At 44.1% G+C, this 19,274-nt stretch overlaps 1 protein-coding gene across 23 annotated transcripts in view, besides 2 other annotated features; it reads left to right on the top strand.

The window, feature by feature from the left end:
- The window catches only part of DCLRE1C (DNA cross-link repair 1C), a 57,074-nt gene that overhangs the window by 8,695 nt on the left and 29,105 nt on the right, over positions 1-19,274 (top strand). For 6 of the 23 annotated variants that reach the window (NR_146962.1, NM_001350965.2, NM_001350967.2 and 3 more), the window contains 9 exons: positions 549-633; positions 5,869-5,928; positions 9,145-9,200; positions 10,174-10,275; positions 10,963-11,035; positions 11,218-11,358; positions 12,783-12,884; positions 17,586-17,722; positions 18,841-18,895. Coding sequence is in view for 18 of the 23 variants with exons in the window: in NM_001350965.2 (NP_001337894.1) it covers positions 549-633; positions 5,869-5,928; positions 9,145-9,200; positions 10,174-10,275; positions 10,963-11,035; positions 11,218-11,358; positions 12,783-12,884; positions 17,586-17,722; positions 18,841-18,895 (811 nt within the window). In the remaining 5 variants the exon portion in view is untranslated. Of the gene's footprint in view, positions 1-172; positions 304-548; positions 634-3,302; positions 3,625-5,868; positions 5,929-9,144; positions 9,201-10,173; positions 10,276-10,962; positions 11,036-11,217; positions 11,359-12,782; positions 12,885-17,585; positions 17,723-18,840; positions 18,896-19,274 lie in introns of all 23 variants that reach the window. The other 17 variants (NR_146961.2, NM_001350966.2, XM_047425648.1 and 14 more) reach the window with 9 other exon arrangements.
- Positions 3,217-3,336: an enhancer, noted in NCBI's record as "active region_3087". NCBI's record gives its function as "activates an Ori minimal core promoter by ATAC-STARR-seq in GM12878 lymphoblastoid cells {active_cell/tissue: GM12878}" and the evidence as "EXISTENCE:reporter gene assay evidence [ECO:0000049][PMID:35858748]".
- Positions 18,492-18,771: an enhancer, noted in NCBI's record as "active region_3086". NCBI's record gives its function as "activates an Ori minimal core promoter by ATAC-STARR-seq in GM12878 lymphoblastoid cells {active_cell/tissue: GM12878}" and the evidence as "EXISTENCE:reporter gene assay evidence [ECO:0000049][PMID:35858748]".

Genomic DNA, 19,274 nt, shown 5'->3' with positions numbered 1-19,274 from the left:
GCAGTGAGACGAGATCACACCATTGCACTCCAGCCTGGGTAACAGAGCAAGACTCCATCTCAAAAAAAAAAAAAAAAAAAAAAAGAATAGACTTATACAGTAAAAAGCAGAAGTTTCTGTTCTCAACACACCTTTTCCAGAGGTAGTGTAATGTGTGGCGGTATCTTTCCAGACACACCTGATCACATACAAGCGCGTATTTCCAAGTAACAATGGTGAGGGACCACTGTTGGAGGAGGTCCAGGGACACCGTGTTTCCACCCCCACCTTGTGCTCTTGGTGGCACTGAAATGGTGTGCATAGGTATGTTGAGAGTGACTCTAACAGATTTTGTGCCAGCGTAATTTCTGAATTATTAGATGTATGATGAAATAGATTTCATAACCATGCCAGGCTAGTATTTGTGTTTTTATTAGGGATGGGGTTTCACCATGTTGGTCAGACTGGTCTCAAATGAAATTATTAGATGTATGATGAAATAGATTTCTTAGTCACCAAGATGGCTCATTTTGGATTGTACTGAAAGTTTTTTTCTTTTTTCCTTTCAGCTTGAAGGTTTATCTATACTGTTCACCTGTGACTAAGGAGTTGTTGTTAACGAGCCCGAAATACAGATTTTGGAAGAAACGAATTGTAAGTTTTATTTTTTTAATAACTTAATTTTTTTTAAGTGGGAAGTATTTTTAGAGGTAGATTGACAAAAACTTTGCCTCAGTTTGTAACATACTTCAGTTATCCACATTAATTAGAATATTGAGTCTCTGGCCGGACATGGTGGCTTACACCTATAATCCCAGCACTTTGGGAGGCCTTGGCGGATGGATCACTTGAGGTCAGGAGTTCATGACCAGCCTGGCCAACATGGTAAAACCCTGTCTCTACTAAAAATACAAAATTTGGCCAGGTGTCGTGGCACACACTTGTAGTCCCAGCTACTTGTGAGGCTGAGGCAGGATAATTGCTTGAACCCAGGAAGCAATGGTTGCAATGAGCTGAGATCACGCCACTGCACTCCAGCCTGGGCAACAGAGTGGGACTCCATCTAAAAAAAAAAAAAAAAAAAAGAAAAAAAAAATTAAGTCTGTTGGCATTGAACAATATGGCAGAAGTCAACATTTGGTAGTTGTTGATATGTTTTCCTTCTTCCTCAAGAGTGAGATCTAGGTCTCAGTTTTGTTTGCTTAATCTCATTGACCCTCTTGCTAAGATGCATTTTAATATTTTCTATTTTTTGTTTTTGAGATGGAGTCTCGCTCTGCTGCCGAGGCTGGAGTGCAGTGGCTCAAACTCGGCTCACTGCAACCTCTGCCTCCTGGGTTCAAGTGATTCTCCTGCCTCAGCCTCCCAAGTAGCTGGGACTACAGAATCCCACCACCATACCCGGCTAATATTTGTGTTTTTAGTAGGCAGAGGATTTCACTGTGTTGGTCAGGCAGGTCTCAAACTCCTGACTTCAGGTGATCCACCCACCTTGGTTCCACCCACTTGGTTCCAAGTGGATCCACTCCCAAAGTGTTGGAATTACAGGTGTGAGCCACCATGCCTGGCCACATTTTAATATTTTAGAGTGTAAAGTGTTCATTAACATAATTGCTAAATCCTTTTATTTAAATTGTGGGATAGAGTAAGAAAAATAAACAAATTACAGGCTGTCATAAGGAAGGGATGACAGCTAGAAGAATACAGATAGAATGGGTAACTTTCGGTCTGGCAGAATAAAATGCATCTGTCCAATATGAGGTAGTCAAGGGGAGGAAAAAGTCTGGTGAATAGAAAATGCAAAGAAGGCAGAAAAAGTCCAATTATATATGACTATATATAGGAAAGGATTTAATTGTACCTTTGGTCAAAAGACAAATTCTCAGTTTAAGTTAAAAAAATCAGACAAATCTGGCTGGGCCCAGTGGCTCACGCTTGTAATCCCAGCACTTTGGGAGGCCGAGGCGGGCAGCTCACCTGAGGTCAGATAGAGAACAGCCTGGCCAACAGGGCGAAACCCCGTGTCTACTAAAAATGCAAAAAATTGGGTGTGGTGGCGGTGCCTGTAGTCCCAGCTCCTTGGGATGCTGAGGCAGGAGAATCGCTTGAACCTGGGAGGCGGAGGTTGCAGTGAGCTGAGATCGTGCCACTACACTCCAGCCTGGGTGACAGAGCGAGACTCCATCTTCAAAAACAAACAAAAAAGTTAGACAAATTCATGAGTATTAGTCTATAAGAGACATAGATAAAACAGAAGGATAAATACAGGTTGAAATTTGAAATTTTGGGGGAAGAAGAAAAAATTACTAACCAATCAGAAGGCCAAAATGTCAGAGTGGCAGTTTTTAATATCAGAAAGTAGACTAGAAGGCAAAGAAAGACAAGGTTTGAAGAGGGTGTCACTGTTAAAAGGAGCCATGGGTCATATGGACGTATGTGCAATTGACAAAATAGCATCCAGCTGAAGTAGAAACTGCGAGAACCTGTCACCCAGTGCTTGATCTGAGGAGAACCACAATGACTTAACAGAATGTGGGTTCATTACATGGATTAGTTCTTAAATCATTGTGGGAGTTGGCAGAGCAATTTGTCCCAGTGTCACAAAGAGTCTGTTTACTTTTTTTTTTCCTTTTTTTGAGATAGTCTCACTCTGTCACAGGCTGGAGCGCAGAGGCGTGATCTCAGCTCACCGCAACCTCCATCTAACCGGTTCAAGCAATTCTCCCTGCCTCCGCCTCCCTAGTGGCTGGGATTACAGGCCTGAACCACCACACCTGGCTAATTTTTGTATTTTTTAGTAGAGATGGGGTTTTGCCATGTTGGCGAGGCTGGTCTTGTACTCCTGCCCTCAGGTGATCCTCCCGCCTCGGCCACCCAAGGGCTGGGATTACAGGTGTGAGCCACTATGCCGGGCTTCTGTTTGCTCTTAAGCTGCTTGCAGCCAGTGCCTCCCTCCTACCCACATTTGGGCAAGCTGACAAAAAGGCCCATGCCTGCCTTAGCACTAAGGCGAAGTTCAAACCAGGCATGTCCAGGCCCAACCCGCACCAAAGTGGAAACCAGGGCTACTTGCTCCTACTCTCTCTTAAGCCACAGGAAACACTTCTGTCCCCAGCTCAGGGACTGCACTGCCCTCCCCGAAAGTCCTGTGATGTGACTGAAGTTTTCTTCTCATTCTCTGTCGTGTGTGTGCTCGCGTGTGTGTATGTGCATGCGTGTGTGAGTATGCACACATAGTGTGTGCACGTGTGTTTGTGTGCATGATATCATCCACCTCCACATCTGACCTTTGATTGAGAAGGGGATTTGTCCTCCCTCTGCAGAGCAGTCACAACAGCAGGGTTGTTCCTGTTGTCTCTGGCATTCAGCTTGAAGTTACTACAGGTCAGCCCGGCCAGCAGTCAGGAAGGAAAGCTGGAAGAGAAGTGGAGGGGAACAGAGACAAACTGGAAGGCAGAATGGCCCACTAGGACAGACCGAAACCCACTTCTGTCTCTCACTTCCTCTGGCCTCAATAGTGCTGGTCTCCCGCTTTGGCTCTGAAGCACATGCACCTGCCCCAGGACTCGGAGGAGCTGCACACGGGCACCCAGCAGAAGCTGATGTTGCTGCGGCCCTGCCCCAGACTCTGAGTTAAGCCAGAAGGTCAGCAATGTTCACTAGCTGTTACCATTTCTGGCGCCCTTCAGAGCATTAAAAAATCCCTACTAGTTCACATCTGCCTTCTTAATGTTTACTGTGGGCAACAACATGGAAAGGGGTTCTAGGAAACAGTTCCAGCTTAGGTGAGTTGACATAGTACAAACAAGGCCACGGCAGAATCAGGGCAAGAAATAGGAAATCAACAATTGTCACTGAAGAGCTTAACATGCCCCTCCCAGATGCTGAAAGAAGGAGGCAGGAAACAGGATGCAGAAAATGTGTGAATGTGGACTAATGAACAGAACTTTAAACCCAAGGAAGAAAATAGTATTTTGGGGGGTGCTCATGACACTTACAAAAACTAACCATGTACTGTGTCACAAAAGAAGGCAATGATGTTGGAGATCAGAAACAAAGGGACAGCTAAAATCTTCCCATACACGTGGAAACTAAATGCATACAATAACTGACCCTTTGGTTAAAAAGGAAATTGTACGATAAAGAAAACATACAATATGTAGAACTGATATGGCTAGGCTTGGGGGCTCTCATGTGTAGTCCTAGCACTTCGGGAGGCCAAGGTGGGACAATTGTGTGAGTCCAGGAGTTCGAAACCGGCCTGGGCAATACTGCAAAACCCCATGTCTACAAAAAAACCTTAAAAACTAGCCTGGTATAGTAGAGTGTGCCTGTAGTCCCAGCCACTCAGAAGGCTGAGGCAGAAAAATCACTTGAGCCCCGAAGTTTGAGGTTATAGTGAGCCGTGACTGTGCCACTGCACTCCAGGCTGGCTAACACAGCGAGAGCCTGTCTCAAAATAAATAAATAAATAAAGGAGCTGATGGACAATGGAAATGTGGCATGTCAGAATGTGTGGAACATAGCTAAATTTGTCCTTGAAGGGAAATTGATAGCATTAAATAGATATATTAGAAAAGAGGACTAGCTCAGTGGCTCACACCTGTAATCGCAGCACTTTGGGAGGCTGAGGTGGAGGGATCACCTGAGGTCAGGAGTTCGAGACCAGTCTGGCCAATATGGTGAAACCCCATCTCTGCTACAAAACATTAGCCAGGCATGGTGGCGGGTGCCTGTAGTCCCAGCTGCTCAGGAGGGTGAGGCAGGAGAATTGCTTGAACCTGGGAGGCAGAGGTTGCAGCAAGCTGAGATCGTGCCACTGCGCCCCAGCCTGGGCGACAGAGCGAGACCCTATCTCAAAAATAATAAATGGGGAAAAACCCATTTCATACATGAAAATGTAAGAATCCTCATAAAGACAGTAACTGAATCTAGCAGTGTTAAATAGTACATCATGAATAAGATGTTTCATTCCAGAAATGCAAAAATACTTTAACACCCAAACCTTAGACACTGTAAGTTTTAGGACATTAGTGGACTAAAAAGGTGAAAAATCACATTGATCTATTCATCAGATACTTACTGAATGCCTCTTATGTGCTAGTCTCTGTTTTGATGGCAGGGGGAAATGTACCAGGGAGCGTTCGGCAGCACTTAGAACCAGTGCATGAGGCTGGGTGTGGTGGCTCACGCCTGTAATCCCAGCACTTTGGAAAGCTGAGGCAGTTGATCCTGAGGTTAGGAGTTGGAGACCAGCCTGGCCAACATGTCAAAACCCTGTCTCTACTAAAAGTACAAAAAACTCAGCCTTGCGTAGTAGCGGGCGCCTGTCATCCCAGCTACTTGGGAGGCTGAGGCAGGAGAATCGCGTGAACCCAGGAGGCGGTGGTTGCAGTGAGCCGATACCACACCACTGCGCTCCAGCCTGGGTGACAGAGCGAGAATGCATCTGAGAAAAAAAAAAAAAATAAAAGAACCGTGTATGAAGCATCCATGTCACAGACCCATCCAGACTGTGTTCTGAGGCACAAAAGTTAGGACACAGGACCACGTTTTTACAAAGACTCAGAATTCAGAGAGAGAGGGGAATGGGAGTGGTAGGGATGGGGAGATGAAGGAGGAAAAATGAATTCATGGAAACAGAATTGTGTCAGAGGATTATATGCATTTACAAGGCGTTTACTCCGTATTACCAAATCTGCCTCAAGACAGGTATTATTTTCTTTACAATTTTTTCTAACTGTTAAAATATTTATTACAATGTAATCGGAATTGTTTATATAGAGAGTCTGAAACTTCTCTTTGCCCCATTTCTGTGTTTCAGACAGCAAAGGCATATAAAGCCATGAAAAACTGCTATATACATGGTCTCTTATTTTATTTTTATAGATATCTATTGAAATCGAGACTCCTACCCAGATATCTTTAGTGGATGAAGCATCAGGAGAGGTAACTAAATATTAAATATTGATTTTTTTAAAAAAATGTGGTGCTAAAATGATTGTTTATATTTCTCTTTGATTTTGCAGTCAGATGCTCCACCCCTCAGCTATACCCTCAATCTTTCTCTTTGATTTTGAATGCTCATTTAACCATAAATAAAAATCTAGTCATTGAGTGGGGTTTTAGGGGCAAAAAAATCCCTTTGTGATTGTGTAAGTCCATTTGGGCTGGACTCACAAAACTACCGTAGACTGAGTGGCTTATACAATAGACACTTGTTGCTTAGGGTTCTAGAGACTGGAAATCCAAGATCCAGTCTCCAGCAGATTTCGTGTCTGGTGAGGGCCCACTTCCTGGTTCTTTTTTTTTTTTGAGACAGAGTCTCACTCCGTCACCCAGGCTGGAGTGCAGTGGTGTGATCTTGGCTCACTGCAACCTCCACCTCCTGGGTTCAAGCGATTCTCCTGCCTCAGCCTCTCTAGTAGCTGGGATTACAGGCGCCTGCCACCACGACCAGAGCCCAGCTAATTATTGTATTTTTAGTAGAGAAGGGGTTTCACCATGTTGGTCAGACTCATCTTGAACTCCTGACCTCAAGTGATCCGCCTGCCTTGGCCTCCCAAAGTTCTGGGGTGACAGGCGTGAGTCACTGTGCCTGGCCACTTCCTGGTTCTTAGATGCTGTCTTTTTCCCTGTGTCCTCCCATAGTAAAGGGGCAGACAAGCTCCCCTGGGTGTCTTTTATAAAGGCACTGATGTCACTCACAAGGCTTCTATGCCCAATAACTAATCACCTCCCAAAAGCCTCCTAATAAAACCACTTTGGGGGTTAGGATTTCAACATAGGAATTTTGGGGAGGGACACGAACATTTAGTCCTTAACAGTGATGTATTTATTTCCCATGTTGTAAAGGATTGGGCATGGCTTATTTTTTGTCACATTTGTTCCTTATTACATGCTAATGATGGGAACCCTGGTGTTGATATTACTACATGATGTTATTGTCACATTTACTGAGTTTTATAATGCTCAGAATTTAAAATGGTGATTAATATTTTTGCAGGTAATTCATGAATATTGTACTTTTTTTCTGAACCCTTATTCAGAAAAGGGGCTCTGCCAAGTGGAAAAAAATTATTTTTCATCATTAAATTTTGAGGTAGTACTTTTGTGAATGTATGGTTTTAATAAGTAGGACTATAGACATACAGCCCCCCTTTTTTTAACCTTTACAGCTGGTAGGTATTTTCCTATTTTGGTTAATATTGGCTTTGTTGCTTGATTATAGCACACTGCTTTGCCGTGTTTAACTTTGAGGGTGTGTTGTGTTGTTGAACAGAAACTGACCTTTTCAGATATTTCTTCTTTGGTGAAGATCAGACAGTTGAAGTTGAAGTATTCTTCCCATCAAATTATCCTGAGGGAGGACTACAGAGCCAGTTTAGTGAGGATTAAAAAGGAAAAAAAAAATAGGTGAACCTTTGTAAATGCCATCCTGGACTCTGCCAACTGCTTTTCCGGGGAATACTGTGGTGGTCTGTGGCCTTGTCACAATCAGGGATATTGGTGAAAGGCATTCCCTGAACTGGGGGCCGACAGCAGGCTGACTTTTGAGCAGTCCTGCCACCACTTTGATTTTTTATGTTTCTTCCTGTGTGCCATGACTTTTATGCATTGTTTATCCAGCTCCAACCAGGGGGAGACCCACTCGAAAGGGTCCTCCAGAATGAATGGAGACTTCCATGAGGAGTCCCTGTCACTGAGCAGTGACCTGGTGTGTGCAGAGCTCTCCCCACTTACTGATGGCTGGAGAGGCAGTAGTGCCTGCAGGTCTTGCCCTTGCCGAACAGTATGATGTGCAGTGTGAATCGGGACCAGGCCTCATCCAGGCTTTAATCTTTTTTTTTTTTTTTTTTTTTTTTGAGACTGAGCCTTACTCTGTCGCCCAGGCTGGAGTGCAGTAGGGCGATCTTGGCTCACTGCAACCTCTACCTCCTGGTTTCAAGCGATTCTCTTGCCTCAGCCTCCTGAGTAGCTGGGATTACAGGTGCTGCCCACCACCATGCGCAGCTAATTTTTGTATTTTTAGTAGAGACAGGGTTTCGCCATGTTGGCCAGACTGGTCTGAAACTCCTGACCTCAAGGGATTCGTTCACCTTGGCCTCCCAAAGTGCTAGAATTACAGGCATGAGCCACCGCACCTGGCTCAGGCTTTAAAAATTGTTAAATAGTGGCCGGGCTTGGTGGCTCTCACCTGTAATCCCAGCACTTTGGGAGGCCGAGGCAGATGTATCACTTGAGGTCAAGAGTTCAAGACTGGCCTGGCGAACATGGTGAAACCCCATCTCTACTAAAAATACAAAAAATTAGCCAGGCGTGATGGCAGGCGCCTATAATCCCAGCTGGGGAGGCTGAGGCAGGAGAATTACTTGAACCCAGGAGGCAGAGGTTGCAGTGAGCCAAGATCACACCATCGCACTCCAGCCTGGGTGACAGAGTGAGACTCCATCTCAAAAAAAAAAAAAAAAAAAAAAGTAAATAGCTTTATTGAGATAGAAATCGAGTCACACACTTGTGTATCCATCACCACAATCAATTTCAGAATATTTTCAGCACCCCAAGGGAAGAAGCCTTTAGCGATCGCAATCCCTCCCTATTCTCTCCTTCCCCAACCCCCGGCAACCACTACTGTATTGGACTCTCTGTCTCCATGGGTTCACCTATTCCGGATATTTCATATGAGTGGAATCATACAACATGTGTTCATTTCTTATCCGGCTTCTTTCACTGAGGATGTTTTCAAGGATCATCCATGTTGCAGCACGTGTCGGTTCTTTTTATGGCCAAATAATATTTCATTGTATGGCTAGACCACATTTTCCTGATTGATGCATCAGCTGATAGACATTTGAACTGGTTCCACCTTTTGGCTAGTATGAAGAATGCTGCTGTGAACAGTCAGGCACACATTTTTGTGTGGCCATCGGTTTTCGCTTATCTTGGTTCTATAACTAGTGGTGAAATTGCTCAGTCCCATGGGAATTCTGTTTGTTGAGTGGACAAGGATTCCACTTGTTTCTAGGATTTGGAGTGTGAGGAAATTGGGAGAAAAGGCACATTGTTAAAAGGTACATAAATGTGTTCTGTGAAGGAGGGCTTTGTTGAGCTAGGTCCTAATGATAACTGCTTTCCATTACTATTTTTTCTTTATTTTCTTTTTAGAAGGAAGAGATTGTTGTGACTCTCTTACCAGCTGGTCACTGTCCGGGATCAGTTATGTAAGGGGGTCATTTATTTTGTCATTTTATTATATGTAGACACATATTGTATTTGTAGAAATAAATTTTTAGGGTCTAAAATTAATAGGGGGCTGGGTGCAGTGGCACATGTCTGTAATCCCAGTGCTTTGGGAGGCTGACGCGGGAGGATTGCTTGAGCTTGGGAGTTGGAGGCTGCAGTGAGTTTTTTTTTTAAAAAAAAAAAAAAAAAGAAAGAAAGAATACATAGAGGGAGATTTGATTTTTTTTCTAGTCATTTAAAACACATTTGTTCCCAAATTGAACTAGGGGGACTGAGGTGAAGATCAGATTTGAAACGTTTCTTATAAAATGGAAGTCTTCATGGCCAGGTGTGGTGGCTCACACCTGTAATCCCGGCACTTTGGGAGGCCAAGGCAGGTGCATCACTTGAGGCCAGGAATTCAAGACCAGCCTGGCCAACATGGTGAAACCTTGACTTTACAAAAAGTATAAACATTAGCCGGGTGTGGTGGCACACCCCTGTAGTCCCAGCTACTGGGGAATTGCTTGATCCCAGAAGGTGGAAGTTGCAGTGAGCCAAGATTGAGCCACTGCCTTGCAGCCTGGGGGACAGAGCAAGACTCTTATCTCAAAATAAAAATAAATAAATGGAAGTCTTCAGCAGCTGTTTCCCCAGTGACCTTGTATTTTATCATCACGTGTATTTCTCTCTCCATGAGCAAGAATGATCTCAACATATAATTGAAAGTGCTAACATATCACAAGGAACATCTATTACAAACTGGGTAGCATCTCCATTCTGTTATTTTCTACCCGAGGGAAGAGGTGACAGCTGAGTGCCTGGTGTGGTTCAAATTACTGTGGAATTCCATTACCATTGTATTGTAATGGATATGTTTGCAGGAAGCATTTAGTATGCAGCTCACATGTATTTGCTTTATTGGGAGTTTATATGAGACTCAGAAGTCACTGGGATATATTTCTTTTTCAGGTTTTTATTTCAGGGCAATAATGGAACTGTCCTGTACACAGGAGACTTCAGATTGGCGCAAGGAGAAGCTGCTAGAATGGAGCTTCTGCACTCCGGGGGCAGGTACTGGGCCTCGTATAGGTTTTATTTTATTTTATTTTATTTTTGTGAAATGGAGTCTTGCTGTGTCGCCCAGAGTTCAAGCGATTCTCCTGCCTCAGCCTCCCAAGTAGCTGGGATAACAGGTACGTGCCACCACGCCCAGCTAATTTTGTATTTTTAGTGGAGATGGGGTTTTGCCATGTTGGGCAGGCTGGTCTTGAACTCCTGACTTCAGGTGATCTGCCCCCCTTGGCCTCCCAAAGTGCTGGGATTACAGGCATGAGCCACTGTGCCTGGCCTCTTGTACAGTTCTTCTGTGTATGACTGAATAAAGTTTTATTGCTCTGGCCGGGTGTAATCCCAGCACTTTGGGAGTTCTGGCCTGTAATCCCAGCACTTTGGGAGGCTGAGGTGGGTGCATCACTTGAGGCCAGGAGTTCGAGACCAGCCTGGTCAACATGGTGAAACCCCGTCTCTACTAAAAAATACAAAAATTAGCAAGGTGTGGTGGCACAAACCCATGATCCCAGATAGTTGGGAGGCTGAGGTAGGAGAATTGCTTGAACCCGGGAGGTGGAGGAGGTGGTAGTGAGCAGACATTGCACTTCAGCCTGGGCAACAGAGCGAAACTCCATCTCAAAAAACAAAAAAAGTTACACATAATTTATATCACATTGGATGGCTAACATCAATTTTTTTTCTTTTCAGAGTCAAAGACATCCAAAGTGTATATTTGGATACTACGTTCTGTGATCCAAGATTTTACCAAATTCCAAGTCGGGTAAGTCTGCCTGGAGGAACAGGGTTATCATCTGGGTGTGCCCGTGTTTTTAGTAGGAAGTTTGTAGGGTGACAGGTCATATCCTAACTGTCCCCGTAGGTGTGAGTACCTGGGACTGTTGGGAAGGAAAAGGCTATGTGCGGCTCTCCACCTGTTAAATGTCTCTTTAAAATCCTGTCTAGGAGGAGTGTTTAAGTGGAGTCTTAGAGCTGGTCCGAAGCTGGATCACTCGGAGCCCGTACCATGTTGTGTGGCTGAACTGCAAAGCGGCTTATGGCTATGAATATCTGTTCACCAACCTTAGTGAAGAATTAGGAGTCCAGGTATGGTGACTGTTCATTCTTTTCTTTTCTTTTTTCTTTTTTTTTTTTTTTTGAGAGGGAGTCTTGCTATGTTGCCCAGGCTGGAGTGTAGTGACGCGACCTCGGCTCACTGCAGCCTCCACCTCCCGGGTTCAAGCAATTCTCCTGGCTCAGCCTCCTGAGTAGCTGGGATTACAGGCGTGAGCCACCATGCCTAGCTAATTTTTGTATTTTTAGCACAGACGACATTTCACCATGTTGGCCAGGCTGGTCTTGAACTCCTGACCTCAAGCTATCTGCCTGCCTCGGCCTCCTAAAGTGCTGGGATTATAGGCCTGAGCCAGTGTTCCCAGTCTGTTCATTCTTTTCTCTTGCTCCCTTCCATCCTCCCAGCTCACCTTTCCTCCCCCTCCTCGCCTGCTAAATAACTGCAAACAGGGACAGATGGAAGCACCCTAACAAGACGTGTCTGCAGCAGAGGTTCGCGGGCCCTCTGAAGGAATATATCATCTTAGTTCAGTCACATCCTCCTGGGAGAAAATTGACAGAAGCCAAAATGGCTTACAAGAGCCTTCAGTGAAATGCCGCATAGACAAAGTATTTTTCCCAAACTTTGGGTCATGAAATAAATTTAGTGATTGTGACCAGCATTGAAAATAAATTTGAACAAGGAGATATGGCAGTGGATTATTTGCAGTACATGCTCCTCTGTTGTACATCATGTATATGCCTTTAAGGTGATTCTTGATTTTTTTTTTTCTTTTTTGAGACTGTCTTGCTCTGTCGTCCAGGCTGGAGTGCAGTGGCACGGTCTCAGTTCACTGCAACCTCTGCCTCCTGGGTTCAAGTGATTCTCTTGCCTCAGACTCCCGAGTAGCTTGGATTACAGGCCTGAGCCACCATACCTGGCTAATTTTTGTATTTTTAGTAGAGATGGGGCTTCACCATGTTGGCCAGGCTGGTCTCGATCTCCTGACCTCAAGTGATCCACCGGCCTCCGCCTCTCAAAGTGCTGGGAATACAGGCATAAGCCACAGCACCTGGCTGAGGGTAGATGATTCTTGATTGTTTTTGTCTGTGTGGATTACTGCTTTATTCCCAGCATTTAGAATAAAGCTCGACACATAGTAGGTGTACGAGGAATATTAACTGAATTTCTCTTGAAGGACTGAAGGACAACATTAACATCATTAAATGACATCCCTGAGCCGAGTGTCCATAATTGTTCACTGACGTCAGTGATGGCAGCGATCCTGGCCAGTCAGCCTTGTGCCTGTTGACATGCTGGCGGAATACCAGAGTGCACTGAATAGCCAAAAACTACTTTTCAAGAAAGAAGAGAGGGTTAATTCACTAACTGGGTGTTTTGCCCTGAGTAATTAACCTTGAACAATTTATAGGAAATACATTTCACATAATTTGCATGTATGTATTATTTGCCTTAGGTTCATGTGAATAAGCTAGACATGTTTAGGAACATGCCTGAGATCCTTCATCATCTCACAACAGACCGCAACACTCAGATCCATGCATGCCGGCATCCCAAGGTACGTGTGCAAGTGATTCCTCTCGTATTGTTTGTGTAATCTATGAAAAAGAAGAAAGGTCAGGGCTTCCATTTATAGGCTCTTCGCTTTACAAATGTAAAACCTGAGGCTGCAATCCTAAGTTGTTAGCTCAAGGTCATGGAACTGTACATTGCCATATTCCATGACCACACTTTTCGTCACTAGTAAATAGACACAGATCTGTACTTTTTTTTTTTGAGATGGAGTCTCACTCTGTCGCCCAGGCTGGAGTGCAGTGGTGCGATCTAGGCTCACTGCAAGCTCCGCCCCCTGGGTTCACGTGTTCTCCTGCCTCAGCCTCCTGAGTAGCTGGGACTACAGGCGCCCGCCACCATGCACGGCTAATTTTTTGTTATTTTTACTACAGACGAGGTTAGCCATGTTAGCCAGGATGGTCTCAATCTCCTGACCTCGTGATCCGCCTCCCTCGGCCTCCCAAAGTGCTGGTACTACAGGCGTGAGCCACCACCCCCAACCAGATCTTTATAGTTTTCTGATGAAATCTATTCATACACGTTTGATAATTCAAATTTATTTGTAATGAAATCAGTAATATATTATAGCTTATAACTTAAACATTTGTGCTATTTATATATGTATTTATATATTTCGAGACATTCTCCTTCTGTTGCCCAGACTGGAGTGCAGTGGCCCACTCTTGGCTCACTGCAGCCTCCATCTCCTAGGTTCAAGTGATTGTCCTGCCTCAGCCTCCTATGTAGCTGGGACCACCGACATGCACCATGACTTCTGGCTAATTTTTGTAATTTTATTGATTTATTTATTATTTATTTATTTTTGAGACGAGCCTTGCTCTGTTGCCCAGGTTGGAGTGCAGTGGGGCCATCTTGGCTCACTGCAACCTCTGCCTCCTGAGTTCAAGCGATTCTCCTGCCTCAGCCTCCTATGTAGCTGGGATTACAGGCATGCACCACCATGCTTGGCTAATTTTTGTAAGTAGAGATGGGGTTTCGCCATGTTGGCCAGGGGGGTCTTGAACTCCTGATCTCAAGTGATCTGCTCTCCTTGGCCTTCCAAAGTGTTGGGATTACAGGCATGAGCCACTGCGCCCATCCTGTGCTTTTTGAGACTCATGACATGAGCGTGTTTATAAACTTTTTCTTCTACTTGAGATAAATATCTAGACATAACTTTTTTTCACACTTTAAAATAGTTTCATGTCTTGATGGTCCTATTTCTAATGGATGTTTCCAGTGTCTTTGCAAGTCACATGTCATTTGTCTTCTTTTGTTTTTTGTTGTTTTGTTTTTTTGTTTGAGATGGTCTCACTCTGTGGCCCAGGCTGGAGTGCAATGGTGCCATCTCGGCTCACTGCAAGCTCTGCCTCCCACATTCAAGCGATTCTCTTGCCTCAGCCTCCCGAGTAGCTGAGATTACAGGCTCCCGCTACCACACCTGGGTAATTTTTGTATTTTTAGTAGAGACAGGGTTTCACCATATTGGCCAGGCTGGTCTCGAACTCCTAACCTCGTGACCACACACCTTGGCCTCCCAAAGTGCTGGGATTACAGGCATGAGCCACCACACCCAGCCTCATTCGTTTTCTAATGCCAACACAGAACCTCCTTCTCTTGTCAAACGCTGAGTACAAGACTTTCATTTTGAATTTGCTTTAAAAAATATTGTTTCAATTAAAATTATTAAGGCTAATTAGTGATCTTTAAATGTAGTGGTTTGAGTGATCATTATTTTTCTCTAAATTTTAAAATACCTTAGCATTAAATCCTGTGTAATTTTTAAAGTAAACATTGCATTTATTCATTTAGATCACTATTATTGTAGTAATAATGGTTCCATTAGCCAAAAGCCTAGTTGCCTAGCCCTTACGATAAAGCATAATTTCAAACAAGAGAGAATTCTGATCCACAGCATGGAATGTTTTCCTGTAGGCCACGGTGAGAGCTGCAGTGTAAATTATTTTTGCTGATTGGTAAGCTGCATATTCTATGTTGCATTCAGGGATTTATTTCTTCACTTTGTGTGCATGTATGCACATATAAATACACATATATATTCACATATACAGACACGTCCAGTGGATTCTTGGATGGATAAAAATGTATACATAAAACGTAAACCGGCCGGGTGTGGTGGCTCATGCCTGTAATGCTAGTGCTTTAAGAGGCCGAGGCGTGTGGATCACTTGAGGTCAGCAGTTCGAAACCAGTCTGCTCAGTGTGGCAAAACCCCGTCTCTAGTAAAAATAAAAAAATTAGCTGGGCATGGTGGTGTGTGCCTGTAGCCCTAGCTACTAGGGAGGCTGAGGCATGAGAATCACTTGAACCTAGGAGGCGGAGGTTGCAGTGAGCCAAGATGTCACCACTGCACTCCAGTCTGGGTGACAGAGCAAGACTCTGCCTCAAAAAAAACAAACAAAACCCATAAACTTAGTGGCTCACATCTGTAATCCCAGCACTTTGGGAGGCCAAGGCAGGTGGATCGCTTGAGTCTAGGAGTTCGAGACCAGCCTGGGTAACGTGGTGAAACCCCGTCACTACAAAAAATACAAAAAAAAAAAAAAAAAAAAAAAAAAGGTGCTGAGTGTGGTGGTGCATGCCTGGAGTCCCAGATACTTACGAAGCTGAGGTGGGAGAATTGCTTGAGTTTGGGAGGTGGAGGTTGCAGTAAGCCAAGATTGTACCACTGCACTCCAGCCTGGGTGACAGAGTGAAACCCCGTCTCAAGTAAATAAATAAAACATACACCTTTTTGTCCCTTTTTCTGTTGGACTCATAGTATTGGGCCCCTTGCCCCATAAATCCTTGAATTGGCAAATTTCTTTTTGCTGTGAATTTTCTCACATCCCACAAAGTAGCTTAGTTAGTAATTCCTTTGCTGTCAGGGCTACTTTCCTTGAGATGCTATTTCTAGCCGCTTAAAAGATTTTTTTAGGTCACGCACTCCTTTAGAATATTAACAGGTAGGTCCACAGCTCATAGAGTCCACTCTTAACTCTAATCTGCACCTTCCTAAGAAACAGCACCAAAGGCACCCCAAAGAAATTTGAGTGGGATGGAACGTTAATGGTTTGGAAGGTTCTGGATTTCAAAATAATGACTTTGGAAAAGTTGTCCCATTTTTTTTCAACCTTTTGAAAACACTTGTATTTGTTAGTTTTTTTCCCTCCAAATTTATTTTGAAAACTTTTTAATTTGAATTAATGAATTTATTTTATAGAGTCTTGCTCTGTCACCCAGGCTGGAGTGCAGTGGTGCAATCATTGCTCACTGTAGCCTCGACCCCCCAGGCTCAAGTGATCTTCCTGCCTCGGCCTCCTGAATAGCTGGGACTGCAGTTGTGTACCACCCACCTGGCTAATTTTTACATTTTTTTGTAGAGATGGAATCCCACTATATTGCCCAGGCTGAGATCTTTTTTTTTTTTTTAATTAAAAAAAAATGGTTTTTTGAGATAGAGTTTCGCTCCGTTGCCCAGGCTGGAGTGCAGTGGCGCAATCTGGGCTCACTGCAATCTCCACCTCCTGGGTTCAAGCGATTCTCCCGCCTCAGCCTCCCAAGTAGCTGGGATTACAGGCATGCGCCACCATGCCTGGCTAGTTTTGTATTTTTAGTAGAGACAGAGTTTCACCATGTTGGTCAGACTGGTCTTGGACTCCTGACCTCAAGTGATCCACCTGCCTCAGCCTCCCAGAGTGCTGGGATTATAGGCATAAGCCACCACAACCGGCCCTGAAAACTTCTTAAACAGTAAAGTTGTAAGACTGGTACAAGGGTCTGGGCCCAGTGGCTCTCGCCTGTAATTCCAACAGTTTAGGAGGCCAAGGTGGGCAGATCTCTTGAGGTCAGGAGTTCGAGACCAGCCCAGCCAACATGGTGAAATCCTGTAACTAAAAATAGAAAATTTAGCTGGGTGTGGTGGTGTGTGCCTATAATTTCAGCTACTTGGGAGGATGACACATGAGACTTGCTTGAACCCAGAAGGCAGAGGTTTTAGTGAGTTGAGATGGTACCACCACACTCCAGCCTGAGTGACAAAGCGAGACTGTCTAAAAAAAAAAAAAAAAACACCATACACCCTTCGTTTGGATTTGCTGCGTTGCCAACACTTTGCACCTCTCTTCCTCTGTCTCTGTACTTATAACCAACTCCCCACTCCAAACCAATTGAGAGTAGTTACAGACTCCATGGTACGTCACCCCAAATCCTTCAGCCTGTGGCTCTTGAGAATAAGAACATTTTCCTATATAACCACAGTACAATACCCTTCCTCAGAACATTTTGTGTTCATATAGTACTATTAGCTGTTACACAGTCCGTGTTCAGATGTCCCCAGTTCTTCCCATAGTGTCCTTTATAGCTTGTAGAATAGGGGGACAGGGGCATCCAGGATTTATTTGAGGGTCGTCCATTGCGTTCAGTCAGGTCTAAAGGGTCTCCTTTGATATATAGATCGTTTGTCTAGCCTTTTGCTTGTCTTCACATTGATGGTTTTGAAGAGTCCAGCCCAGTTGTTTTGCACAATATTCCCCAATTTGGAATTATCTGATTGTTTCTTCATGTCTACATTGTTTTGCTGCTTTTTTTTTATTTTTTATTTTTTCGTGTCTGGAAACTTTTCTACTTTTGTTTTTGAGACTCTGCCTACAACAGATTTGTAGAAAATGTAGAACTGTTTTTCTATGCTTTTTATCTTTTTTAGGCAGAGGAATATTTTCAGTGGAGCAAATTACCCTGTGGAATTACTTCCAGAAATAGAATTCCACTCCACATAATCAGCATTAAGCCATCCACCATGTGGTTTGGAGAAAGGAGCAGAAAAACAAATGTAATTGTGAGGTAAGAGAGCAATATCATAGGTCTTCTGAGAGAAACTTTGAGTAAATTGTCTGATTTAATTTCATTTAAGCACAGTCTAGCCTAAGCCCAAGAATATAATTATATATTATAATTAATTTCTTAAATTTAAATTTTATTTAAATGGAGGGGATGCTACTCCCAAACCAGTTACACTCCCATCAGCTGGTGTATCCTGAGGTTCCCTCTGGGTAGGTTGATGAGATGGTTGGAGACTGAAGGCATCTGAGTGCTTGGCTTAGAGTAACAAATTGATGTCATACAGAACAGAACCCTTGGTGGAGCAGAGGAGTGACTATCATGATCACAATATTTTAGCAATATTTCCTTAACTTTGGCTGTTTAAAATTTCTGCAACAGGTCCCTCCCTCCCTCCCTCCCTCTCCTCCATCCCTTCTTCCCTCCCTCTCCTTTCTCCCCCCCCACTCCCTCCCTCCCATCTGAGTGCTTGGCTAAGAGGAAAAACTGATGTCAGAGAGAACAGAACCCTTGGTGGAATAGAGGAGTGACTATAATGATCTTAATATTTTAGCAACATTTCCTTAACTTTGGCTGTTCAGAATATCTGCAAGAGGTCCCTCCCTCCCTCCCTCCCTTCTTTTTTTTTTGTGTGGAGAAAGAATCTCACTCTGTCACTCAGGCTGGAGTGAAGTGGTGTGATCTCAGCTCACTGCAGCCTCTGCCTCCCGGTTCAAGTGATTCTCCTGCCTCAGCCTCACTAGTAGCTGGGATTACAGGCATGTACTACCACCATGCCGAGCTAACTTTTTGTGTTTTCAGTAGAGACAGAGTTTCACTATGTTTGCTAGGCTGGTCTCGAACTCCTGAGCTCAGGCAATCCGTACGCGTCGGCCTCCCATAGTGCTGGGATTATAGGCGTGAGCCACCACACGCGGTCTACAACAGGTTTCCACTTCTGGAAAAGGTTCCCTGCTATCCCAAGAAGAAATTCCTGATTTAGGGTGATTTCGACACTTGCTGCTGAAGCGAGCCCATTAGAGTGGTTTCATGCTAGAATAGCCTAAATGAGAAGGGCCAGCTTTGCTTAGTTTTAGTTTTGCTCAGTGATCTTTTTATTTTGTGTTTTCACTTCCCTTTAGGACTGGAGAGAGTTCATACAGAGCTTGTTTTTCTTTTCACTCCTCCTACAGTGAGGTAAGAGGATCCCATATACTCATAACCCTTATCGCTCAGTGTTCTGCAGCCTTGGTAGTTGACAGGTAGTCCCCTGACTCTCAGAAGCATCTCTGTTTCTATGTAAGTTTCATTTCCTTTTAGTTTTTTTTTCCTAAATGCAGTTCATCCTCATTATTCATGGATTCCTTTTTTTTTTTTTTTTTGGTTGAGACAGTGTTTTACTCTGTCGCCCAGGTTGGGGTACAGTGGTGTGTTCTCGGCTCACTGCAACCTCTGCCTCCTGGGTTCAGGTGATTCTCCTGCCTCAGCCTCCCGAATAGCTGGGACTACAGGTGCCCACCACCATGCCCAGCTAAAATTTTTGTATTTTTAGCAGAGACAGGGTTTTACCACATTG

Source organism: Homo sapiens, chromosome 10 (genome assembly GCF_000001405.40).
Source record: "Homo sapiens chromosome 10, GRCh38.p14 Primary Assembly".
Lineage (NCBI taxonomy): Eukaryota > Metazoa > Chordata > Mammalia > Primates > Hominidae > Homo > Homo sapiens.
Note: the sequence above shows the minus strand (reverse complement) of the source record. Positions and strands in the feature narration are given on the sequence as shown.